The 27,381-nt window shown below is 40.0% G+C and overlaps 1 protein-coding gene and 1 pseudogene across 2 annotated transcripts in view, besides 3 other annotated features; both read left to right on the forward strand.

Moving 5' to 3' along the window:
* Positions 1-27,381, forward strand: part of PDK3 (pyruvate dehydrogenase kinase 3) — an 85,181-nt gene that overhangs the window by 36,521 nt on the left and 21,279 nt on the right. For both annotated transcript variants that reach the window (NM_001142386.3, NM_005391.5), the window contains exons 4-9: positions 1,521-1,705; positions 3,403-3,492; positions 17,127-17,204; positions 24,392-24,468; positions 25,768-25,869; positions 26,270-26,380. In NM_001142386.3, the coding sequence (NP_001135858.1) occupies positions 1,521-1,705; positions 3,403-3,492; positions 17,127-17,204; positions 24,392-24,468; positions 25,768-25,869; positions 26,270-26,380 (643 nt within the window). The remainder of the gene's footprint in view (positions 1-1,520; positions 1,706-3,402; positions 3,493-17,126; positions 17,205-24,391; positions 24,469-25,767; positions 25,870-26,269; positions 26,381-27,381) is intronic.
* Positions 11,535-11,654: an enhancer, noted in NCBI's record as "active region_29505". NCBI's record gives its function as "activates an Ori minimal core promoter by ATAC-STARR-seq in GM12878 lymphoblastoid cells {active_cell/tissue: GM12878}" and the evidence as "EXISTENCE:reporter gene assay evidence [ECO:0000049][PMID:35858748]".
* Positions 11,601-11,876, forward strand: SNRPEP9 (SNRPE pseudogene 9; annotated as a pseudogene).
* Positions 26,138-26,745: an enhancer, noted in NCBI's record as "H3K27ac hESC enhancer chrX:24546061-24546668 (GRCh37/hg19 assembly coordinates)". NCBI's record gives its function as "activates a minimal SCP1, AML or CMV promoter by ChIP-STARR-seq in naive H9 embryonic stem cells {active_cell/tissue: H9 hESC(naive)}" and the evidence as "EXISTENCE:reporter gene assay evidence [ECO:0000049][PMID:30033119]".
* Positions 26,746-27,352: an enhancer, noted in NCBI's record as "NANOG-H3K27ac hESC enhancer chrX:24546669-24547275 (GRCh37/hg19 assembly coordinates)". NCBI's record gives its function as "activates a minimal SCP1, AML or CMV promoter by ChIP-STARR-seq in naive and primed H9 embryonic stem cells {active_cell/tissue: H9 hESC(naive and primed)}" and the evidence as "EXISTENCE:reporter gene assay evidence [ECO:0000049][PMID:30033119]".

Below are 27,381 nucleotides of genomic sequence, written 5' to 3' on the forward strand. Positions count from 1 at the left end.
TTGCTGTATGTTGCTGATTGTCCTGAGAAGTGCCTCAGTTAAGCCCCAAACTCTAGCTGATGCTGATACGTGGAGAATAATAAGTATCACATTGTTTTGATTTGCTTTTCTTATTTGTAAGGGTGACGTTATTGGCATTTGTGCTTCTTCTTTGGTAAATTTTGCATTGATAGCAGATCCTTTGCCTAGTTTTCTGATGGGGTGCTAGTTTTTTCCTTTTTTTAAGTTTTTTGTTTTTTTTCTACTTCATTTATTAATGTGTGTCCCTATAGGATTGCTAAAATTCTACATAGTCATATCATTTGTTTCTTCACATTATTTGTTTCTACCTTTGATATTAAGCTTAGAACAGCCCTCCTTATCCCAAGATTATGTACTTATTCACCTGATTTTTCTGTTATCATTTCTGTGATTTCACCCTTTTACATTTTTAATCCAGTATTTGGTTTTAAGTCTTGAAATTAGGATGTGACTGAAATTGTTAGCCCGCTGTTCCAGTTAACTTGATTATTAGTTTGATTGTTTACCTACTGATTTGCAATGTCACTTTCTCAATATGCTCGATTTTTATATATACATACTCACTCATGGGCCTGGTCCTAAACTTTTTATTTAGTTCCATTGACTGACTTGTCTTATACCATTCTTAATGTATTTTCCCATATGCATATTTACAATAAGATGCCAGATACTTGAATAGTTTAATTTCCTGTGTTCTGTCTGCATTTCATCACTGTATTTTACTGCTGCGAGATATTTATTTCCAAATTTTACTCTTAAACTGTATGAGACACTTTAGGAGGCTGAGGTGGGCGGATCACGAGGTCAGGAGTTCAAGACCAGCCTGGCCAATATGGTGAAATCCTGTCTCTACTAAAAATACAAAAATTAGCCAGGCGTGGTGGCGTACACCTGTAGTCTCAGCTACTCGGGAGGCTGAGGCAGAAGAATTGCTTGAACCCGCGAGGTGGAGGTTGCAGTGAGCCGAGATCACACCACTGCACTCCAGCCTGGGTGACAGAGTGAGACTCCGTCAAAAGAACAAACAAACAAAACCCAAAAAACAGTGTGACATTATTTCTTTATTCATGGAAGCTATTGCTTTGAGATTGCTTTAATCAGTCCTTGGAGATTTTGTGGGGATTGTCCTCATGTTCTCAGAAGAAGTACTGATATGTTCTGCAATTCTTTATTCAACTTTTATAGAACCTGTGTTATATGCAATCACTTATCCAAAAAGTCTGGATTCCTAAAAGGGTATTTGAGCATTTTTTTTCTGTACTAGAACCTTTTACTTTTTGCACTTCTGAAAGAAGGGTTTCTGTAGAAAAAAAGTTTCAAGCAAAAACTTGGCTCATACTTTAGTTTCTTGTGGGTGGTTCCTTGTTCTATGTAGTAAGAATAATGTCTCTACTTATAAAAATACCAGCAGACAACTAGTCTGGGGACAGAGCTGGGAAGTCTGTGCATCAGCCCATGAGATATTAAGACTGACCACGTTTTGTTTCCCTCTCACACAGCTTTCTACAAGTTCTGATTAAAGTCAGAAATAGACACAATGATGTGGTTCCTACAATGGCACAAGGAGTGATTGAATACAAGGAGAAGTTTGGGTTTGATCCTTTCATTAGCACTAACATCCAATATTTTCTGGATCGGTTTTATACCAACCGCATCTCTTTCCGCATGCTTATTAATCAGCACAGTAAGTTGGAGTTTGTTGGTCCAGTTTTGAAAAGGTAACCATAGTGATTTCTCCCAAATGTTTTCCTGTTGTTAATTTACTGACCTGCATTTTTGGTTGTAGAAATTTCATTTCTAGTTCGGTTTTTCCTAAGTGAATCCTAGCCATTACAAAGCTATTAATTTGTATTCTTGGTTAAAAGAAATGTTTGAAAGGCTTTTATGAGGCTCACATTAGAGACAGGACCACTGCCTACCTTTTAAGTCTCTGCTGATACAGTCTTGATGGGGATGAGGGACCGCCTTTAATGGCAGCCGGCCTTCATCTCTGAATACTTTTATGTATCTCAGATTGTATTATTTTCTTTATCCAGGATATTATGTGTTTTCCTTTTTAGTTTTAAAAACATTGACACTGGAAATATTGAATTGGATGTTGGTGATAGGAGCCATCAGTTCTTTATTTCACAGTGATCAGTGAAGTCAGATTAAGCCAGACTGTCAGTCCATAATCCCGTATTGAGAGTTTTAGTCTGCTCTTGAGGGTACTAAGCAGATATGAAAAAAACAACTAAAATTCCCTCCACACAAAAAACTTTTTGGCTCATCTTCAGCACTGTCTCTTTGGCTGATTTTATAATCCTTGAGGAAAAGCATCCACATGTCTAGAGCATAATTCACCCTGTTTGCTGCATCACAAAGTGGACAAACCATCTTTATTTTAGTAATTTGATTTATTTGGATAACTGAATGTTATAGAACTATTAAATGTGGCCTTATATTAAATGTATATCTTCAAAATGGAAATGTATGACAATTTACAGGAATAAAAGAGCCTAAATACTGTTCAACTAAACTACTTAGATAACTCCAGTTGCTTTCTGATCTAAATACACATGTACACATATATACGTGCATGTTTTTAGATCATTAGTTAGGCCTACACATCTCTGTTTTTCTTCCCCTTAATCAGTTCGAACTTTATTAATTAGCCTAATGCCTGTATTTATCATTTTTCATAGTTTAAAATATCCCCTATTTTATTTAGGCATCCTTCTTTTGTTAGTCGCAATTTTTGCTTGATTTAAAAATAAGAACACCTATAAATATTTGGATGCAGATTGCTTTTTTCTTTGGGGCTTCTTTTGGCTTTTATTCAGAAACAAAATTTTGCAAATCTTGTATATTGTGAAATTATCTGAGTGTATTTTTAAAAATACTTGAACAAGTATTGTTTGTGTACACAACATTGAAACATAATCTCCATGGGGGAGGCATCTGAAATGCTGCCAGCGAAGACACTTTGCAAGCTTGTCCAAATGGTATAGACCACATGTTCTAAATATTTAATGAAAGTTGGAGTTTGTGTCTGGAGTAGTACTAAGAAGGTGGGTATACTTGACTAAGGATGAAAGTAAGTTTCTTCATCCATGTCACATTGGGAGAGGAAGAACGGATTGGGCACCTGGCACGTGTCACTGCTTTAGAACCTGCTGACTGCAACTGACAGACCTTAAACCACATCCTCCTCCTTCATTGACCAATAAGAGTTGTTCACCCATCAATTGTGTGTATTCCATTGCTCTAAGTTGCTGTGGATGCTAAAATGATTTTTACACATAAGATATCCTTTCTAAACATAAGCCCCTATATTTCCCTGTGTGACCATCCCAGCCTGCTGTGTTTTAATCCCCTCCCTTTCCTTTTGTGTTCGTCTAGCACTTCTGTTTGGGGGTGACACTAATCCTGTTCATCCTAAACACATAGGAAGTATCGATCCCACCTGTAACGTGGCGGATGTGGTGAAAGGTAAGGAGACCGTTGTAATGGTATCGATCGTAGTTCAAATTGGATTGTGGTTTATTGGAGGCAGCTTGGCTATAGGGTTATTTTGCAGTGCAGTCTGCTGATTCATCAGGTCACTCTGGGCCCAAGCCACTGGATCCAGATGAAATGTTCTTTCTAGGCAGTTCAGGTAGGCAGTTCTTTCTAGGCAGTTCAGCATAATTGGTAAGGCTCAAAATGTGAGTTTCTACTTTATTGATTAGAGTTTCATTTGTAGTTCTGTCTCAAACAGTAAACATTTAAGTAAGATTCTGATTGCCACTGTTATCTGAAAATTTCAGAGAATCCAAATTCTTATCATAAAATTAGGTTGAATTCACGTGTCTATAAAATTTAAACATATTTCTGTTGTTCACATCTGGCTTTAGAATTTATGTGGCATGTAAGCTTCATGGGTTCATTGGACTTTAAGCTAGACATTGTTCCAGTATCCTCCGGGAAGAACCAAGCCCTATATCCGTAAGTCCCTGGTACCCAGGCACTTTGAATTTGAACAGCAGTTTCCTCATTATTTATTCATTTAAGATCAATGCTATCTCCAAGAAACCTTCCTGGTTGTGAGCGATCCACCAGGTACCTCTTCAGTTTTCTTCATTGTTACGGTTACTTTGTGCAACCTCAGATCCCCAAATTGTCCCTTTCTGCAGATTGTATCTCCTGTGTTGGCCTTTATCTCCCTTCTTTAAACGCTCACCTCCCAAGTTTCATGGCTGCAATTCTCTCTGATCTTCATCAAGGATCTTCATTGCTCTTCAGCAGCCATAGCAAAGGAAAACCTCTGTAATTTGTTTACCCTGGGCATTCCTAAACCCAGGGAGGAGGACCAGACCTGTTGGTTTTAGCTTAGCCTAGGATTGTCTGGCTGCCCTGGCCTCTGTTGAGTCACAACAGATTTACTCACATTATTTCAGTTGTAAGGTGAATCAGCCCAGCCTCAGCTCTAGGAATCCTATTGGTTGCTCTCTCACAAGATAACTTTGTGGTTGATCAGAACCTCCAAAGGCCTCCGGGGGCAAGGAGGAAAGGGTCAGTCTTATCATAGCTTACATGTTCATTAGGCCTTAGCTCAGTGCCTTTTATGAAACAGAAAACTTGGTTCAGACAGTTGATTACCCCTTTGAGAAAAAGGCACAATTTAGAAAGCAAAAGTGCATTGTGATATATGGTATGTGTGCATTTTCTCTTGAACTGTAACCAATTTGAGGTCAGGGTTTGTGTCTTATATTTGTTTTATAACTTGCATAGAACCAACTGTAGTGCTTGTGTAGGTGATTAATAAATATTCCTTGGTTTGATACATTTTAAATCTTTTGAGAATATACTTTTAAAAACAGCTTTATTGAGATACAATCTCATATGATAAACTTCAACCATTTAAAATGCTCAATTCAGTGTTTTTTAGTGTATTCACAGAGTTGTGCAACCATCACCACAATCCAGTTGTAGAACATTTTGTTTTTTTCTTTCTTTTTTTTTTTTTTTTTTTTTTTTTTTGAGACAGAGTCTCGCTCTGTCGCCCAGGCTGGAGTGCAGTGGTACGATCTCAGCTCACCGCAAGCTCTGTCCTTCGAGTTCAAGTGATTCTCCTGCCTCAGCCTCCTGAGTAGCTGGGACTACAGGCGCATGCCACCACGCCCAGCTAATTTTTGTATTTTTAATAGAGACGGGGTTTCACCATGTTGGCCAGGATGGTCTCGAACTCCTGACCTTGTGATCCACCTGCCTTGGCCTCCCAAAGTGCTGGGATTACAGGCGTGAGCTACCACACCTGGCCTGTAGAACATTTTCATCACTCCAGAAAGAAACCCTGGACCTGTTAGCAGTCACTCCCTTCTACCCTTCTCTTTAGCCCTAGACAACCACTAATCTACTTTCTGACTCTGTATAGATTTTCCTATTATAGACATTTCATATAAACAAAACAATACAATATGTGGTCTTTGGTAACTGGCTTCTTTCACTCAGCATAACATTTTCAAGGGTCATTGATGTCATAGCATCTTTCAGTACTTTATTCCTTTTTATGGCTGAAAAATATTCCATTGTATGAATATAACACATTTTATTTTTCTCTTCATGTTAGTTGGGTGATCTCAGACTTGATTAAGTAACCTCTTTGGGGCTCAGATTCTTCATCTGTAAAATGATGCTCTTGGTAATTCACCTATATTGTAGAGTTAAATGAGTTCATATTTGTAGAACCCCTAAAGCAATGCTAGTACACAGTAAAGGCTGTAGACAGGTTTACTAGCAGCAGACAGTCCTTGGGTGTCAGACATGTCATTTGGCTTCCCATGTACGCCATTGATTATATAATAGGTTGGTGCCTTTATTTTGTTTCTGGCATAAATTATAAAATATTTTTTAAAGTCATTTCAGGCTTTTATAAGACAATTGGAAATTTGAACACTGGATATTTGACATTAAAAATATGTTAACTTTTTAGGTGTGATATTGGTATCTGGTCTTGTTTTTATAAAGGAGTGCTAGCTTTGAGAGAGGTATTTAAAAATATTTACACATGATATGAAATGATGTGAGATTTGCTTCAAAATTATACACAGGGAGGGGAGTGAAAAGGACTGGGCATTTGTTGAAAATTCTTGAGGCTGTTGATGGGCACATGGGCTCATTATACTATGCTCTGTACTTGGGTATGTGTTTGGAATTCTTCACGGTAAATGTATGAGTCTGTTCTCATGTTGCTATAAAGAACTACCTGAAACTGGGTAATTTATGAAGAAAAGAGGTTTGATTGACTCACAGTTCTGCAGGCTGTACAAGAGGCATGGCTTGGGAGTCCTCAGGAAACTTACAATCATGGCAGAAGGGTGAAGGGGAAGTAAGCACGTCTTCACTTGATGGCAGGAGAGAGACAGCGAAGGGGAATGTGCTACAGACTTTTAAACAACCAGATCTCGTGGGAACTCACTATCATGAGAACAGCAAGGGGAAAATCTGCCCCCATGATCCAATCACCTCCCACAAGGCCCCACCGCCAACACTCAGGATCACTATTCAACATGAGATTTGGGTGAGGGTGCAGAGCCAAACCGTATCAATGAAGTTTTAAAAACACTTGTTTTCATCATCTTATTGTTTCTGCACAAATAAAGTCTTTCACTAATTTTTAGGGAGCTTTTAACCAAGAACCAGTACAACTAGATAAGTAGCAGGGAGTTTTATGAAACTGTTACCACTTCTATAGAACAGAGCGATTAAGTGGTGCTAAAGTGAGTCAGAGGTGTCAGAGTGTGAGGAGGAATCGACTGTGATTTGACTCTTAATGTGAACAGAATCGATCGTTTTATGGCACTTACTGTCTGTGTTACTCTTCTCTCATATTTAGTACATATTACCTGGCCTTGTCATTATTTGTACTTTCTTTTTTTTTTGGAGATGGAGTCTCGCTCTGTCGTCCAGGCTGGAGTGCAATGGCGTGATCTCGGCTCACTGCAACCTCTGCCTCCTGGGTTCAAGCAATTCTCCTGCCTCAGCCTCCCAAATAGCTGGGATTACAGGCACCCACCATCATGCCCGGCTAATTTTTGTATTTTTGTAGAGATGAGGCCATTTGACCAGATGTTGGCCATGCTGGTCTTGAACTCCTGACCTCAGGTGATCCGCCCGCCTTGGCCTCCCAAAGTGCTGGGATTACAGGCATGAGCCACCATCCCCAGCCTATTTGTCTCTCTCTATCTAGGGTGTCAATTTCTAAAGGTCTGGAATTATTCTTATACGCTTTTGCATCACTCCTCTTAGGGTCAGAAGTTTTGTACCAAAAAGTAGCTGAAGGTTATATGAAGAATAGTTCAATACATAATTGAAAGAAAAAACCCTGGAAGTTTATGCCAATGTCTACCTCATAGCTTCCTCTTTGCTTTGTCCCTTTTAGACACAGTTTTGACCCTGAGCCACAGTCCCCTCCTTTTTCTTCCCTCTTCTTGTACTCACAGCTTTATCTTTAGTCTTTCTCCTGCGCTTATTAACTATATTATACCCATTATTGCACTGTGAACAAAGTTTACTGCTTCCCTTACTTAATCATTCCTGCCACTCACTTAGCATAATTAAAGCTTGGAGTTCCTGGTGAAGCCCTATACAATAACAGTCACTTCTTGTGCCCTTTTGTGACTCAAAATCCCTCTTCCCCCAACACACACATACACATACACATGCACACACACACGCATGGACATGTACACACATACAAATCCCACCTCCACACTCATGGGGTAAGCAGGAAGGACTGGCATGCTCCCCATTCCCCACGCCTCTCTCAAACCATGGTTTTTCATCTCTCAACAGCATCCTCCCTTAAGGAAAAAAACAGTGGAGGTGGTTTCAGATTCCGAAAGTGTATAACCCTCTAAAGCAGCAGCCACATAATCAACTTTCTGACATCCTTCATTCCCTTCATAAACGATGCATACCGATACCCACAGCACACTAAATACTCTTGGCTTATGTGTGTTTTCTGGAATGCTTTTGTACTTCTGCTTCCACCTGGTGAGGTGCATGCTTACTAAGGGTCACTTATTTGTACCCAAGCCCTTGGTGTAAGTTATACTGACTGTTGTGACTATATAATTTATTTAAATGTTATGTAAACTGAAGAAATATGCATACAAGAAAGAGACTTATTTCTGTTAAAACCAAGTTGAATGCTTTGGAAGGACTCTTAAAAATGTTATGAAATTACTGTGAGTAAGAAAACGATTAGATTACAGGGCAGCACGGAGTAAAAATCTTACCTGGAATTTATACCCAGGTTGCTTCACAAGTATCTTTAAGTTTATTATACTTTAAAGAAATAGGAATTGGAATTCATAGATGTAAGTGATATTGTTCATCCAAGAAAGACGAACTGGAACCCCAAACTGATCCACATTCAAAGGAAAGGCCTTATATGAATATACTGACAGATAAATAAATTGTATGTTCAAATGTGCATTTTAAGTTAATGTTTACGATAGTAATCACATTTTACGGTTTCCCACTTTACCCAACATTTTTGTTAATCATCCAACTCCTTTTCCCAGTTGGGATAGTTAAGAAGACTAATGCCATTTTCCCAAAATAATAAAAGTGCTCATCGAAGAAAGTTTAGAAAATATGGGAAAAGAGAGAAGAGAATAAAAATTACCTGTTTTCATAATTTAGTGAGAACGTTGTTTTATACATTTGAACTCATATCAGATTTATAGATAGGTGTGTAGCTGCAAATATTGTGTCTAATCTTTGTCTCCGTGAAATCCATAGTATTTTTGAATTTCTCTATCTCCAGCACTAATGCCCATCACACACACCCTTCCTGGCTGAATTTGATACCCCATGGTAGAAGCCTCTATCCTGCTGTCTGCGTCAGTATTTTGGAGTTCTTCCTGTGTCTAATCTGTGATACTCATTATCTGTATATTTAAATGGTCTTTCCAGCCAAGTGTGCATAACCTTTATTCTGCAGTGGGGGATTGGCCTTACATCAGTTACTTTTTCTACCCTGGCAAATGGGCTAGGCAACCTAGAAGGAAACCTGCAGGCCTCTCTTTTCCTTGTAGACCAAAGCAGATGTCTCCAGTCGACTGTCTGCTTCATTTCCTATGGACCCTCCTCTTAATTTTTTGAGCATCAAATGCTTATGCAGAAGCTCTTTCTACCTCCAAGTAAGACTGAGAGAGAATAAAGAAGGCACAGAGCGCCAAAGGTTGAAAGGCCTGAAATTTCTTCTGTGTCTTCTAGCTAAAAGGCACTGGAGTCTCCATCCCCAAATGCCCCAGGAGCAACCATCAGAAGGTCTCAAGAGGCCCAGGCCTCACCAGCTCTTCTTACCAATCCCTGCCAAGTGTTGCCAAGGAAGGGAAGAAATGGATGTCAGCCTCTTTTGACTCTTAGTGAAGTCTTACTGTTGCCTTCCTCTTTTTAGAGTAGTTGGTATTTTCACCCTGGCTTTGTACCTTCTTCCACTATCCTCTGAGATTTCTTAGTTAATCTTCTAACTCAGAATCTCTATAGCTAATCTTTTATTTCCTTCCTTTTGTTTTAAGCAGTTGGATGTTACGAGAGTAAGGGCTCCAGGTTTTAATGACAGCCCTACTAATGATTTTCTTAGCTGTGAGAATCCTACATGGTTTAAGCATAGTCAGATGTCCAGCCCAAATGACCCTGTGTGGGCGTCTGTGTGTGAGCCTCTTTGTGTGCACACATGTGTGTTTTATAGGTTTAATAAGTGTTGGCTAGGTGCAGTGACACACACCTGTAATCCCAACACTTTGGGAGGCCAAGGCGGGTGGATCACCTGAGGTCAGGAGTTCGAGACCAGCCTGGCCAACATGGTGAAACCCCATCTCTACTAAAAATACAAAAGTTAGACGGGCATGGTGGCAGGCACCTGTAATCCCAGCTACTCAGGAGGCTGAGGCAGGAGAATCGCTTGAACCCAGGAGACGGAGGTTGCAGTGAGCTGAGATTGCGCCATTACACTCCAGCCTGGGCAACAAGAGTGAAGCTCCATCTCAAAAAAAAAAAAAAAACCACACAAACAACAACAACAAAACAAGTGTTAAGCCCACTCCCATCCTTAGATCTCTTGAGACAGATTACAGAAAACTCCCATGTAGAAGAGTAGAGACAATATTTTTATTTTTGACTAGACAGTTGTATCAACATATAAAAGTGGGGTGCATCTTGTGTAGCATTAATTGAATGTGCAGAACACTGAAACATGCCTCCTTGCTGCTTATTTAGCACCTTAGTATCTACCTTTACACATCTACAAATTATAGACCCCAGGTAGTGAATGCTAGAATTAGTGTTGTAAAGCAGGTCCTATTATCCTTTGGGAGGTGCCTTCCACTGTGACCCTTTTCCCTCCTTTCTTTGTAAGAAGCTAGGAAATAAAATGGAAAATCCTGCTGTAAGATCATTTTGAAAGTATAAACTTAAATACTTGGTGTAAAAATCGATTCTCACAGCGATGCTAAGTTGCCTGTGTTGTTCTTACATGCTATTACTGCTTAATATAATAGCACACAAGTGGTATCCTCAGAGCGCGTGGCATTATTCTGGTTCAGAAATAATGTCTTGTGCTCTCACTTTGGGCTCTTCAGGTTACAAGTAACAGAGACCCACTCACGCTAGCTCAAGAAAGATTTATCAAAAGAACCTGGTAGGTCCCATGATAATCCAAGGACAGGAAGCACTTTATAGTTGGAGCTATAGAAATTGGAATTATCAGCCTGGCCAACATGGTGAAACCCCATCTCTGCTAAAAATGCAAAAATCAGCCAGGTGTGATGGCGTGTGCCTGTGATCCCAGCAACTCGGGAGGCTGAGACAGGAGAATCGCTTCAACATGGGAGGCAGAGGCTGCAGTGAGCTGAGATTGCACCACTGCACTCCAGCCTTGGTGACAGAGTGAGACTCCATCAGAAAAAAAAAAGAAATTGGAATTAGGAAACAGAAAACAAGGTTGTTTTCTGTGTGTCTTTGCAGCTGGAGTTGCCAAGTCATGGCCTTTCCGCCTTTCTCTGTGCCTGCTCCTTTACCTGTTTTTGTCTGTGTACTGGACGACTCAGTGGCAGCTTGTTGGGCACTCTAGTCCTTCACAGATCATGATAATTTTCAGTGTACCATTTTGGCTTCTGCCCTGCCTGATCACCCCAACTGTCTTGATCCTAAATTCTCAAAAGATGCATTTAATTAACTCAGCTTATCTTTTTTTGCCCACGATCTTGATTCTGAATTCCCAAAAGATGAATTTAATTAACTCAGCTTATCTTTTTTTTTCTTTCCCCCTACGATCACAAGTTTTAGGATTCTGATCAATCTGGAGATTGGATATTCTGCTCCCACTCCCACTTGCCCAGTCTGCTGTGGTTTGGAGCGTGAGGTGTGGGGGCCTACTCCTTTAAAAAATCTCCATTGGATCCCACTTGGGATGGGTTTGGGGTAGGAAGGATGATGATAGACATGCCTTATTAGAATTGCTTTGAGACTTGAAAGGGTTCCTAAAAGGCAGCATATCAATTCCAGAAGGTGGGGTGCGGGCCAGTGTTGTCTCTGTGGGTTCTACCATGGTGCACTGTGGCCAGGGCCAAAAAGTGCAGAAGGTGAATATAGCCCATCAACCTTACCTTCATCTTCAGATACTTGCAAAATAGATCTCGGATTCAGGTATGGCTCTATGAGCAAGTGAATATGCTGATAGAGGGCCGTGTCATTGGTTTTGACGAGTCTGTGAACCTCATATCAGATGATGCAGAAGCGATTCATTGTGAAACAAAGCCAAGAAAACCCCTGGGCCAGATCGTGCTAAAGGAGATCATATTCTGCCACAAAATGTCTCTAACCAGAAATGATCAAGGAAGTGAGACACTATTGAGAACTTGTTTTTTTAGGTGTCATTTGTTGGGAGTATAGTTCTAAAATGCCTGTTCAGATTGTTTCCATTATCTGTATATATTATTACCAGATGACAGTAAATGCTGTGGGATTGTTTTTATTAAAAAATAAAATAAAAACAATTAAAAACAGCCCATCAGCACTTTTCTAATGTTTTCTGGTCATTTACATTTACCTTTTTGTGACACTGGCTTCTTAAACTTCAGCTTTATGATTTTCTGTATTCTGTTAGACTCAAAGTTAGGGACCTTGGCACCTTCCTTTTAATTTTTTCAGCACTCACTCAAATTCATCCTAGTCCAGCCTCTCATATTTTTTGTCTCAAATGATTGCATGCATTCAAGATAGAGGCTAATATTTGATAGCAGAGTTCTGTGGTGAATTTTGAATAGGAAAATCTGATGAAACAACCTCCATTATCTGTTCAATTTTCCTGTGTGCTATTTCTTAAAACGGATTCATGGCTAGTTTGGTTCTGTTGGGCTGATTGCTGTGTGAACCTTCACCCTGTTCTCAGCCTTTTAAAATTTTAGTCTAATGCATTTACAGTTTAGATATTTTAACCTGGGGAAGTATGTATGAGCCACACCTGCAGTTTTGTTAATTACTTTATAATCAGTACCTTAAAACCCTTGAAAACAGATTCCTAAAAGAAGGCATGTCACTTATATTCAGTGGCAATAATAATTCTCTAATATTTTCTTCTAAAGATTGATGGTAAATATTGGCCCCAGTATGCACATAAAAGTAATTTGGCAGTTATCTTTTTTGAAATTTTGATTTCTAATTTAAAAAATAGAAAAGTTTGATTAGAAAGCTTATTATAAGTAGAATTTGCATTTTACTCTAAATGTAAATTACAAGCCATGAGTTGAATTTTGGTTTTGATGGCGATTTTTTAAAGCTTTTTCATTTTTATGTTAAATTATTTTACTTAAACAGAAATGTCCTGTTTGAGTATATAAGTGCTGTTACCCCAGAACCTCATAATCATTCATATCCTGGGAGAGATGAGTGGCAGAATTAGCGTGACTCAGACTTGATTTTCCAGGGAAGTGGCCTAGCTTCTCTTCCGAATTACCTGCTAAGTTTTAAGAATGTGGACTCTCAGGCCTCAACATAGAGCTACTGCCTCGGAATTTCCAGGGGTTCCTTTCATAATCTGTACTCTTTCTTTTAAATTTGGTAACGAATCCCACACACAGCTAGATTGGGGAATGAGTCTAGGCCTCTAGTTCCCAGTCTCACCAAAAGGAACACCTCCCGTCAGTGTAATTTACTGCATGTTGAGAACTTAATCATGGGTCAGAGGATCGTTCCATTTAACAAATGCTAAGTGTGTATTGTGTCCAAGGCATTGCAACATGCATTGTGTCCAAGGAATTTACAAAGATGCATAGTATATATGTAATACCATTAATGCCCTCAAAATACTTTTGGCTAGCTGGTGTATGTGAGTCTACATTGTGATGACTTGAGTTCTTCAAGGATCATCATGCAATTCTTAATTATAACGTTGATACACTGTAAGTTGTAGTGATGCTTTAAAAATTCTTATTCGCACGTGGTTTTAGGAGCTGTACTGGGTCTTTGTGTTTCGAGTTGGCTGCTTCTGTCTAGGCTTGGTCTTTCACATGTTAAATTTGTGTAGCACATTTTCTTAACAACGCTGTCATAATCATGCTACTGGGCAAGCGAATTCCATGAGGAATTAGCACATTTAGTGGGTTTAGGTTATTTTTGTTTTGTAGTGAATGGAAGAGCACTGTTTAAACATCTTTATTACATACCTGGAGGAGTTGTTTTGTGAAGATGTGTTGGCTTTGTGTATCGATAATGAATGATCGTTTTTAGGTTTCAGTGCTTGTGATCTTGGAAGTTTGTGTTCAGCTTTGTGCTTTCACGTCACTAGGTGGAGATGTAGCATTGTTTGGCGGCATAGGCTAAGCAAGAGGAGTGAGTCTTGATTTCTCTTCTTTTGACAAAAGTACTTTACAGATATTTGATAAGGTTTATTATAGCCTAGGAAAACACTTGTAAATTTAGTACAATTCAAAATTTTTAACTTTTTTTTCAGGATTGAAGTTCAATCCTACTTAAGTGTCTATTTTCATACTGATCAACTCTTTTAAACATTTTTTTTCTCCTCTTACTGCTGTTTCCTTTTTGCTGTCCCTCATTATTTCACCTTGTCTGAGTTATTTTAATGTCTCTATCTTTGGTTCTTTATAGAGATTTAATTCTAAAAGTTTAGTAAAGGAATCAGAATTCTTACTCTGAGGTCAAATAATAGATAATTAATTTGGTAGCAATATGAAGTCAATGAACTAAAATTTATAGTCTGAACATACCCTAATCTTATCTTTGTATTATTTTAGGTTAATAATGTCAATTTTTAACATTAACATTCTGTAGGGCTTACTTTTCCCCCTTTGCTTCCTTCCTTCTTTCTCTCACCTCTTGAATATTAAACAAGCACAGTATTTACTTTGCACGGTATTGATGTGGGGAATATAAAGGAAATAAGAGCCTGTCTTCAAAGAGCTGATAATCCTGTTGAGAACATTCCAAATGCGCCCACGAAGCAGCAGTTTTCTACTCCTAGGTATATACCCAAGATAAATGAAGGCATATGTTCACACAAACATTTGGACATAAAGGTTCATAGCAGCACTATTCATAATAGCCAAAAAGTGGAAACAACCCAGATGTCTACCAGCTGATGAACGGATAAAGAAAATATGGTATACTTGTACAATGGAATGTGATATAGCAATAAAAAGAAATGAGATCCTGATACATGCTGTGATGTAGATGATGCTTGAAAACATGCTGGTGAAAGAAGCCAGTCACAGAAGACCGCATATTATTCCGTTTATGTAAAAAGTCCAGAATAGCAAATCTATAGAGATAAAGTAGATCCATGGTTGCCTAGGGCTGGGTGGAGGGGAGTAACTGCTAATGGGTTCGGAACTTCTTTTTGTAGTGATGAATATGTAAACTTGATTATAGTGATTAATGCACAGCTCTGACTATATACTAAAAACCACTGAGTTGTATGTACTTTTTTTTTTTTTTTGAGATGGAGTCTTGCTCTTTTGCCCAGGCTGGAGTGCAGTGGTGTGATCTCAGCTCACTGCAACCTCTGCCTCCTGGGTCCAAGCGATTCTCCTGCCTCAACCTCCCAAGTAGCTGGGACTACAGGCACCCGCCACCATGCCTGGCTAATTTTTGTATTTTTAGTAGAGAAGGGGTGTCACCATGTTGGCTAGGCTGGTCTTGAACTCCTGACCTCAAGTGATCCCCCTGCCTCGGCCTCCCAAAGTGCTGGGATTACAGGTGTGAGCCACTGTGCCCAGCTGTGTGTACACTTTACTTTCAATGAGTGAATTGTATGGCATAAGAATTATCTCCAATAAAGATTTTTAAAAAGTAAATTACCAAAAGGTTTAAAATTTATCAAACTAAGGTTGTTTTTTGTTTGTTTGTTTTTGTTTTTGTTTTTTGAGATGGAGTCTCACTCTGTCCCCCAGGCTGGAGTGCAGTGGCACGATCTCGGCTCACTGCAACCTCCACCTCCTGGGTTCAAGCAATTCTCCTGCCTCAGCCTCCCAACTAGCTGGGATTACAGACGCTCACCACCATGCCTGGCTAATTTTTGTATTTTTAGTAGAGATGGAGTTTCACCATGTTGGCCTGGCTGGTCTTGAACTCCTGGCCTCAAGTGATCAGCCCACCTCGGCCTCCCAAAGTCCTGGGTTTACAGGCGTGAGCCACTGCACCCGGCTCAAGGACTGTTTGTTGACCATCTACACAGGCACTATACGAAGTTCTATGCAAGTTATGAAACAAGTGTTAAGACACAAACGCTGACTTCAGATTGTTTACAGTTCGAGAGAAAAGGCATATATGCAATGTCCAATGTCTTGTAATGCACCTTTGCTTTCTGAATCTGCTCCCCATCTTTGAATCTCCTGAATTCTGTCTTCCGGCTGTTTCTGTAATGGCTCTTATCTTCTTACCATATGTCTTTTATTTTATCCTTTAAAAAGCGGACTGTTGCTCCTCAGACTTTGATAAATATCAGCCCCAGCCTGTTACCTTTAACTAACTCAAAGGACCTTTTAAAGTGATAGTGGCATCTCCAGTAACTTAAATTGTGTGGCTCATGGAAATCTATTCATTCAGCAAATACTTACTGAGGTTTCACTTACAAATAACTCTGGCAAATCACAAGACTGTTGGCATTATTATTTTTAAGATCATGACAAATATTCTTTTGCTACAATTTAGTCAGGTTGCATGGTGCTTAGAACGTATAGTCTTGAGTTCCTAAATTTTCATGAAAAATATATTTTGGTAATAGTATAAGTTAAACAAGTACGTGTTTGGTATAGAGCTAGCTGAATTGCCAGTATTCTAGTATGTTGACATTGTTATGGTCATTAAAACTTTGAGAAAAGAAAGCCAGGCACGGTGGCTCATGCCTGTAATCCCAGCACTTTTGGGAGGCCAAAGAGGGTGGATCACCTGAGGTCAGGAGTTCGAGACCAGCCTGGCCAACATAATGAAACCTCATCTCTACTAAAAATACAAAAATTAGCTGGGCGTGGTGGCACACACCTGTAATCCCAGCTACTCGGGAGGCTGAGGCAGGAGAATCGCTTGAACCTGGGAGGCGGAGGTTGCAGTGAGCCGAGATGACACCACTGCACTCCAGCCTGGGTGACAGAGTGAGACTCTGTCTCAAAAAACAAACAAACGAACAAACAAACAGAAAATCCTTTAAGAAAAGAGAGATTGGCTGGGCATGGTGGCATATGCCTGTAAGGCCAGCTACTTGGAAGGCTGAGGCGGGAGGACTGCTTGAGCCCAGGAGTTCGAGGCTGCAATGAGCTATGATCACACCACTGTACTCTAGCCTAGGCGATAGAGTGAGACGCTGTCTTGGAAAAAATAGAAAAGAGAAATTTTGCATTAGTCATGGTAATTCTATTAAAGCCACAAAAGGGTATTTTGTAAAAGGTTGTAGTTGATTAATTCTACATCCATCCGTTTAGACAGTTTATCTTATGTACCTATAGATATATACATGCACATGTGCACACACACACACACACACACACACACACACACACACACACACGCTTGTGCCTATGTTATTAGTACAGCAGCTAAACTTTTTCCTTTTCTTGCAGATGCATATGAAACAGCCAAGATGCTGTGTGAACAGTATTACCTGGTAGCTCCAGAGCTGGAAGTTGAAGAATTCAATGGTAAAAGAAAACTAATTTTAACCTTACATTCAAAAAAGCTGACTAAGAAGCTGTTTATACCTAAGCCATATTTCAGTGAGCTCCAAAAATTATACTGATTTTTCATTTTCTTATATCTTTTTAAAACTTTCTACGCTTTTGGTCAACCAGATATATTATTGTAAGGAGTTTTTGTACAGGAATGTGTAATGTGTTAGACCCCAGAATTCTTGGAACAGAAATAATCAAGGTAGAGTATGTAGAAAGGTATAAATAGGCCCTTCTCAAAGTAACAAATGCAAGCAGTCGATCAACATATGGAAAAGTGTTTAACTTCACTAATCAAGGAAGTGCAAACAAAAACACAGACAAATGCCTTTTTTTTTTTTTTTTTTTTTGAGAAGGAGTCTCGTTCTGTTGCCCGGGTTGGAGTACAGTGGTGTGATCCCAGCTCACTGCAGCCTCTGCCTTCCAGGTTCAAGTGATTCTCCTGTCTCAGCCTCCTGAGTAGCTGGGATTACAGGTGCCCCCCACCATGCCCAGCTAATTTTTGTATTTTTAGTAGAGACGAGGTTTCACCATGTTGGCCAGGCTGGTTTCGAACTCATGACCTCAGGTGATCCACCCGCCTCAGCCTCCCAAAGTGCTGGGATTACAGGCGTGAGCCACCGTGCCCAGCCAAAAATGCCATTTTTGTCTTTCAAAATGACAGTGATTAAAACATTTTAATGCTTTGAATTTGTGCCCATAAAAATACTTTCTCACCAGCACATACATTTCTTGTATAAGCTAAAAGTGGTATTCCCTTTCTAAAAAATGCCAGCAATGTTCTTTCTATTTGGCCCAGTAAATAAGTTAATAATGGTCATATTCTTTGGTCCAGTAAATTAAACTTCAGAACACTTATTATAAGAAAATAGAGGCTGGACACAGTGGTTCACACCTGTAATCCCAATACTTTGGGAGGCCAAAGTGGGTGGATCTCTTGAGTCCAGGAGTTTAAGACCAACCCGAGTGACATGGCGAAACCCCATCTCTACAAAAAATACAAAAATTAGCCAGGCGTGGTGGCACTTGCTTGTATTCTCAGCTACTTGGGAGACTGAGGCAGGAGAATCACTTGAACCCGGGAGGCGGAGGTTGCAGTGAGCCGAGATAGTGCCACTGCACTCCACCCTGGGCAATAGTTTGAAACCCCATCTCAAAAAACAAACAAAAATCTATGAAAATAGAGATGCACAGATTTATGTACAAGATTGATGATCACAGTAGTTTTCTTATAAAGTTAGAAAACAACCCAAATTTTCCACAATAGAGCATTGTTTAACTGAATTGTGGTACACCCATTAGATAGAATACTATGCAGCCCTTTGAAATAATGCTTTAAACGAATAACGTATGGGAAAAATTGAGATTTTTAAAAAAATACAGGCTACAAAAGTTTATAGTAGTGGAGTTCATTGGAAAATATTTTGAAGGATTTATACTACCAAAATACAAATAGCAGCTCTCTGGGTAATGGGGTTACAGATGATTTTTACGTTCATCATATGATTACATATTTATTTGCACATTCCTTTTTTTATTTGCAAATTATGGAAGAGACATGCTTATCACAAAAATACAGATACAGAAATGTGACTGAAAAGGGAAATCCCCCACAACTTTCTCAGTCCCATATAGAGCTTTGGTTTTTGCATAAAGCATGTATAGCTTTAACCCTATTTATAACGTGGTTTTCACTTCACCTTGAAGACCTTTGCAAGTATTAATCTCATTTAGAGATTATCCATAGTGTAACTTACCATAATTTATTTAACTGTTTTCCTATGGGTATACATTTAGGATTTCCTGTTTTCCTATATTCCATATAATGAGCTATGAAAGAGTGTGAGAGGTGGGGAGGGTGGAAAAATTTGTGAACGTATGGAAGTATTTCTGCAGGTTGGATTCCTAGATGTGGAATGACTGAGCAGGGTGTGAGCATTTACAGTTAAAGATAAACCAGGCCAGGCATGGTGGCTCACACCTGTAATCCCAGCACTTTGGGAGGCTGAGGCAGGAGAATCTCTTGAGCCCAGGAGTTCGAGACCAGCCTGGGCAAGGTAGCAAAACCTTGTCTCTACACAAAATAGAAAAATTAGCTGGACATAGTGGCATGTGCCTGTAATCTCAGCTACTCAGGAGGCTGAAGTGGGAGGATCGCTTGAGCCCAGGAGGTAGAGGCTGCAGTGAGCCGAGATCACATGACTGCACTCCAGCCTGGGTGACAGAGCAAGACTCTGTCTCAAAAAAAAAAAAAAAAAAAAAGATAAACCAAATTCCCCCTCAGGAGTACACTAAAAATGTATTTCTCTTATAATGAGATAAAACTGTGAAAGGAGTTCAGGCTGCTGTTGAAGGACATGGCCCCTCCATTTGACTAGAAGGCATGGAGTCAAAGCTGCTTTCAAGGTCTCTTGGGTTCTCTGAGAAGAGTCATGTCCCCATTGAATAAATATACTACCAGGACCGAGTGGGCTTGTCTGGAGTGTTCCTGATGAGAACCATCTTAATATTCTTTCTCTCTCTTCCTATGGACTAGGCAGGAGCTGATCTCACATCTGCAGGTAGTAACAAATTGCTCTTTTGCGTGAGTGGCAGCCTCCCTCATTCTAAAGGCCAAAGCAGCAGGCCTGTTCTTGCTGATTCCCAAGTGCCAGCCATGTCAGCACATTCTGTCCCCGCTGAGGCTGTCATGCTGGGCAGCTCACCCACCAGGAGAGGAGCTTTCCGACTCTTTTTGGCATTGTCTCACGAATTACAGAAGCCCCCTTTCGATCATGTTTTGAAGCCCCTTGTCCTATCACTAAGATAAATGAATGCTGGTGTTTCTAGGTAGCTTCTAGCTTTATGTTGCTTTGGGTAGTGTAGTGATTATTTTTATGTATAAGTTCTTAATGCTAGAGCTCTCTTGTGAGCATGATTAAGGAATGTGCTTTCGCCTTAACAAGTTCTATGTTGGAGATGCAGGTTGGAGGTTGATCCTGAACACCTTAAGTGGATGCTTTTTTATTCTGGAAGGAGAACTGTCTGGAAATAAAATTCCTTATATCTAATGGTATTTCTTAAATGCTGTTTCAACTAATGGCATTTGGAGCAATGACTGTACAAAATAGAGACTTCATTATTTCTGAAGTCTTGAGCATGACAAACCTAGGCCATTTTTAAATTGACTTTTAAAAATGTACCCTTAGATGGAAAATTCATATTCTACTTATTTTATAAGTCAGCAAACATCTATTAAGCATCTGCTACTTAACAGCCAGCCTCGAGACCCAGAACTAGGAAAGAGTCATGGACAAAAGCATTTGACATGGTTTTAAAAGGAAGGAAAGAAATCTAAACTGTAATGTTCCCAAAGAAAAGTGCAGGTAATTGAGCAAGCCTTTAGATGGCTCCTAGAGAATGTTGTTTAAACTGAAAAAATAAAAATAAAAAAACCCACTATATAAAAGGTGTTTGCCTTTTCTTGAGATTTGGGGTGAAAAGGTTGAATTCATAAGGCTGTTTATATAACTAATCATGCCATTTGGTACAAGATAAACTGAGCACCCAGCTTGTTCCTCGAGCCCCATTAAAATGACAATAAAGGAGCCAGGCGCAATGGCTCACACCTGTAATCCCAGCACTTTGGGAGGCCGAGGTGGGCGGATCACTTGAGGTCAGGAGTTCGAGACCAGCCTGGCCAACATGGTGAAACCCTGTGTCTACTAAAAATACAAAAATTAGCTGGGCATGATGGCATGTTTCTTTAGTCCCAGCTACTAGGGAGGCTGAGGCAAGATAATTGCTTGAACCTGGGAGGCGGAGGTTGCAGTGAGCTGAAATTGCGCCACTGCACTCCAGCCTGGGCGACAGAGCAAGACTCCATCTCAAAAAAAAAAAAGAGGGGAAAAAAAGAAATAAAAATAAAATGACGATAAAGGAATCCAAAGAAAAGCAGCAAAGGAAAGCAGAGGAGCTCATTAGTGGACCAGTGCCTTAGTCCATTTAGGCTGCTATAACAAAAATACCAGAGACCAAGTGGCTTCAGCAACCATTTCTCATGGTTCTGGAGGCTGGGACATCCAAGATCATGGTTCCTGGAGATTTGGTGTCTAGTGAGGACCCACCTTCTGATTCATAGCTGGCTTCTCACTGTTTCCTTCCATGGGGGAAGGAGCGAGGGAGCTCTCTGGAGTTTCTTTAAACGGGCATTAATCCCATCCATAAGGGCTCTGCCCTCATAACCTAATCACCTCTCACAGGCCCCATCTCCTAATACCATCACATCAAGGGTTACATTTCAACATAGGAATTTGGGGGAGACACACACAAACATTCCGTCCATAAGAGGCATGAATCCCAACTTTTGAAAGAGGGTCACTAGATGGAAGTATGCTGATTGGTGGGACAGAGCAGAAGCAGCCACAGGGGAGGAGGCTGCAGCAGAGGTGGCAACTGGTTTGCCGAAGATTGTCCTGGAGGGACTCTGGGGGCAGGGCCAGGTGGTGCAATGGACTGGAATGGGAAGGGAAGGCAGAGGGTAGGGTTAACTGAAAGCTGGTCTAAGAAAGAGCATGGAGGGATGACGGGAGGCAGCTGTACTCTGGCCGGGTTCAGCCTGCCAACAGGCAACTAAGTATTTTGTTCGAGAACAACCTAGGAAGAATTAGGGCTTTTCATGTGAGTGTTGTTACCCTGCAGCAAAGCCCTGTTCGTTTAAGCATTTGGGGGCCTCTCTGCTCAGAGGCCCATTTACTACCTGCTCATCCTCAAGCCAAGTTGAAAAGTCTTGACCAGTCCAGAGAGCTCTAAGTCAGGCTTCCCACTTAATGGAGAGCCCCAGGGGGATATGAACGCCAGCTCCCTCATACAGTGAATCCGGTTCTTCATTCTCAAACAAGAATATTGCAACCAAGATGGATCAGACCTTCAGCAAAAGCCAGCAGCAAGAACCAAACCTAACTGGCATTAAACTTATCAGCTCTACTGTTACTGCCAGAAACCCCCCTTTTGAAATTCTGAGAGAAAATCATTTCAAACCTAGAATTCTCTATCTAGCCAAACCTTTAATCAAATAGATCAGAGGTGTAAAGATTGACAGATGTGTCTCCCATGCATCCCTTTCTGAGGTAGGTTACCTGACTGCCTTGATGTTATGTATAATATGCATCTAAGAAAGGGGAAAACATTCTAGAACTTCAATCAAAAACAACTTTAGGATGATGGCTATGCAGCATGTTTGCAAAGCAATTGATTCTAATTTGAAAAATCTTGAAGAATGGACTGGATACCATGCAGTAGGTATGGAAGCTGGAAGTAGGTATGGAAGCTGGAAGTAGGTATGGAAACTGGAAGTAGGTATGGAAGCTTCCAGTAAGCTGGAAGATCTTAGCGAAATGGCATGGACCAACTATGAAGCAACCCAAAAAGGGTAGCATGATGTTGACCAGTTGGAGGAGTATAAAGAAACTCCATTTCATGTTAAGGCTGGGAACATTCTCCTCCAAGGGACACATGAATCATTGTTATTGCATTAATAGGGAAGAAAATGTCTAGGTACACTGTTGTGGTTGTTCTACAGTGATCAATATTTACATAGTTATAATGTCACCAACACTTGATTTTCTACTTTCTTGAAAGAACCTATAGGCAATTTACAGCATCCCTAATTTGGGTTACAGAACAGAATGTAAATATTACCAACCCAAAGACTACAGCAGAAGTAGTAAAGAGTGGCTGCCTCTGGGTTCAGACTGAAGGATAAGATAGGAAAGGGGGAAGGACTTTTGTTTTTCTTCTTTTGTTAAATTTTTAAGCCGTTTACATATATTACTAAGTGATTTTAAAAACAACTGCTCAGGCCAGGCACGGTGGCTCACGCCTGCAATCCCAGCACTTTGGGAGGCCGAGGTGGGCAAACACCTGAGGTCGGGAGTTCGAGACCAGCCTGTCCAACATGGCAAAACCCCGTCTCTACTAAAAATACAAAAATTAGCCAGGAGTGGCGGCGCACACCTGTAATCCCAGACACTCAGGAGGCCGAGGCAGGAGAATCGCTTGAACCCGGGAGGTGGAGGTTGCAGTGAGCCGAGATGGCGCCACTGCACTCCAGCCTGGGCAACAGAGTGAGACTCTGTCTCAAAAAATAAATAAATAAAAATAAAAATAATTGCTCTTTGAAGAGTTCGGGATTTAGACTCAAAAGCTCTTTGTTCAGGTGTCTGGTTTCGGTGCCACTTCTGGGACCACGGGCAAGTCACACAGGCTTCCCAAAGCCTGTTTCCAGACCTCTAAACACCACCACCCCTCTAGGAGCCAGGAAGTGTTGTCAGGAGGAGTCAATTGAATAATGTATGTGAAAGCTCTGTGTAGACTGCTAAGAATCAAGCAAATGTGAACTCTAATTTGTATTACTGTTAATTACTTTATTAGAGGAAGTAGCTGGTTGAAATTACAGCATTCTACCTGAGAGAGTTCATGTAGTTTCAATCTCTTAAGTGATTTTGGGTCATGAGGAGGAGGAAGGACTGTATTTTTGAGCATCTGCTCTGTACCGCACACTGTTCTTATTGCTTCACCTGGGTTTTGGTGTTTCTCAGATTGTCTTCAGATGACCCATGGTGCAAGGGGAAAAGATCATAGGTCTCTAGGGGTTTATGTGCTAGCTGCTTGAGAAAAAGTTATGTGAACCTTACATTCTATGCTATAAGATGCCTTGTTTGTCATAATTTAACAAAACTGAACACTGCCATTTAGTCCAGTTCACCAGCCCTTTTTTTTCCTGTTGCTCCACATTCTCCCGTGGAATTCCCCCTGGGGTCAGTGGCAGAAGGTAGCCCCCAATTTGAAAAACACCAAGTGATATCTGACTGGCCTTCTGTAATACTCAGGATGTTATGGCATAGGTGATAATATTCCAATTCTGCTCAACAAAGTTTCAAAGAGATTGAGTGATTTATCCAAGGTCACATAGCTGGTAAGTGAAGGAACTGGGTGTCACCCCAGGTTTGTTTGATTCTAAAGCATATGCTTTTGCTCAGCCCTGCCTTTAGAGGTGGAAACTCAAATTAGCCTTTTATAGAGCTCTGTTTTACACACTTGGAAAATAGAATGCAAACATCATTCTTGAATTTCTCCTACTTTGGGTCCTTATTGATTGATGGTTTTGTCTCTGTTTTCAGCCAAAGCGCCAGACAAACCTATTCAGGTGGTTTATGTGCCCTCACATCTGTTTCATATGCTATTTGAGTTGTTCAAGGTAAGTGGAATTTTAAAAACGTGGAAAGAAGTCTTCATTTTAAATTACTTTGATTCAGGGCATAATGGATTCATTAGATTAGCATAAGAAAAAGGTTTTGCATAACCATTTTAAAAATTCTATTTCTGATATCCTGTGGGTTTTATAATTTGTACACTGTGAGATGAGAAATTGCTGTGTACACTATAGTTTTTGTGAATATTAGTACATATTGATTTTGAAGCTTAATTGCACTTTAGTGATTTTATGTAAAATCCATACTGTTTTTTCTTTAGTTATGAGATTAGAGATGCTTTTTAGTTTCCAAACCTGGCAAAGGCTTTACTGGTGATAGCCAGATCAAAATAAAAACATGTTTATACATATTTATGCTTCTGAAAATTAACCACACTGGTACATTAGTGGTTGTTCCAGTCCTGAGAGATCCTGCAACTCTTTTATAAAATATTTGAATCAATTCAGAAGATCCAAGAGAGGCAGAGGAGAAAGATGTAGATGAGCTGGACCAAAAGAACCACCCCTCCCCCCCACCAAATTCTTTAGAGTCTGCAACTTAAGCTGTTGCTTTTGTTAATCAGTAGCTAATGACATTTACAGTAGCAGTATTACAGGCACAAGGCATTTGAGCTAAAATTTCATTTCTTCCAATGCGTGAAACACTAAATTGAACACCTGAAAAATCAGTTATGCTGATTTGCTTCCAAAAATTAGAATGTTACTGATGTAACGCTTTAAGGTTGAAATGGGCATTCAATTGTGAACTTTCTCTTCAGCAGCTGTGGCTTTTTCAGAATTTCTTTTTAACCAATATTTCTTCTACTTTTTTCAGCCAAATGATTAATTTTTGTGGGAAGCATGCATCCTTTCAGTTTTTCTGCCTTCTTTAGAGAAAAGGTGCTCTATAAATGCAGACTGATAAATAGGATTTAAAGTGCACAAATCAGCCTCTGCATAGCCTCATTACATGCGATAAAAACATTCCTCTGGGTTGAGTTGAATAATTTAAATACCGTAAAGCGAAAAAAAAAAAAAAAGAGGAAGAAGAAGAAGGAAAGAAAAATAAATATTTAGCATGTTGGATGAGGCTAAAACTAGGTGAAAAACAAAGTGTCAGGAAATTTTTCCTTGATTTGAGCACGTTTAGCTAAGCTCTTTAGAGGGAAAAATGCCATAAAAATCCAACTAATATTTGCCCCAAAAAAGGGTTGTTGGGTATAAGTCATCTTGCGCTTCTTTCTCTTTAAAAATTGTGGTTTGTGATTCGGCAGTATGATTAATAAAAAGATCTTATTATTTTAGAACTCAATGAGAGCGACAGTTGAACTCTATGAAGACAGAAAAGAGGGCTACCCTGCTGTTAAAACCCTCGTTACTTTGGGTAAAGAAGACTTATCCATTAAGGTAACTGTTTTATGTGCATGTATACTTTAATTATCAGTTGTGATTTAATAGTATCTAGACATTGAAAAATCAGAGGGAAGGAAATTGACATTTATTGAGTGTCCTGTTTGTAAGTTCTATGCTAGATCCTTGGCTTAAGTTACCTTATTTAAACTTCATTAGAACCTTGTTATTCAGGGAGTTGAACAAGACCTCAACACCAAGCCTGTTGGATCCCACTGTACCATTCGGCCTCCTTTGTTTTACACTGTTCACAAAGGAACCGTATGTCACTGGGGGATTCAAAGTCCTTGTACATTGTGGAGTAATCTGCTATGTACTTTATTTAATGAACCCATTGCCTCCTACTAAGTATAGATCAACTTCTTTGTTTTGATTGTTAACATTTTGAACATTGCAGATCAGTGACCTAGGTGGTGGTGTCCCACTTCGAAAAATAGATCGTCTTTTTAACTACATGTATTCTACTGCTCCTAGACCCAGCCTGGAGCCTACCAGAGCTGCCCCTTTGGTAAGCATCTGAAAGTGCTGCTGAAGGAAAGATCATAAACACAGGAAGGGGCTCAGAGGGAGCTGCCTCTCTCCCCAGGTTGTCACATTAGTGTAGTTGATTTAGAAGGTTGCGTGTATTATGGTTTGGAGGAGGGAGAATTTTTTGCCTTGGCTACTTGCTTTGTGAATCCTTTGGACTTCAATTTCCTCTCTGATTTGTGTCTAAGAAACACTCCTAGCTGAGTGCCTCATTCCCATATACAGAGAAAAAGTACCTCATTGTGGTAAGACTGCTACTGTAGCACCATTTTCCACTTTGTGCTACCCTTGGAAGGGGTGGAAGTTGCCAGTGGGTGAGCAAAGGGACAGTACTGAATGCATAGCTGCCGCTTGGTCCTGCGCACTCTGGCGTGCGTACCACAGAGGCGCGAATCACCTAGTGCCTTGGAATCTCCACTGTCAAATTTGTTTATATAATTAAAATGTTAAATTATGAAAACATTAAATTTTTATGTTAAATAACATTAGCATGAAACATATAGGTGGTGTATGCATTTTCAGAGCCCTTTCTGTCTCACTCTGGAAATAACCTTCAGCCCTGTTAAGGCAGTGAGAAAAGCCACTGGTTACCATGGTAGCATTTAGATCCTGGTAGGGCCACACTTGCTTCCCCTGCTGAGTGTTTCTAATTGACAAACAACAATTGAACCCTTTGTCATTAAACACAGCAACATATCTATCAGTCTGCAAAATGGTTCAGGGTATAAATTAAGTTTCATTTTAAAGTCGTACCTGACTGATAAGCACATAAGATTATATTTTATTTGTATGAATAAAATCAAACACTTTGCATCATTTATTTGAGACAGAGTTTGTTAACTCAGCATGTTGGAAACAGGAAATCATTTATATAGGAGTCGAGAAAATTCATGAAAGATCACATTTGAGAGGCGTTGCCTTGACTAGGCTCTGGCATGCACTTAAATACACATCAAAAGGAAAAAAGGCACCACAAACAAA

This window comes from Homo sapiens, chromosome X (assembly GCF_000001405.40).
Source record: "Homo sapiens chromosome X, GRCh38.p14 Primary Assembly".
Lineage (NCBI taxonomy): Eukaryota > Metazoa > Chordata > Mammalia > Primates > Hominidae > Homo > Homo sapiens.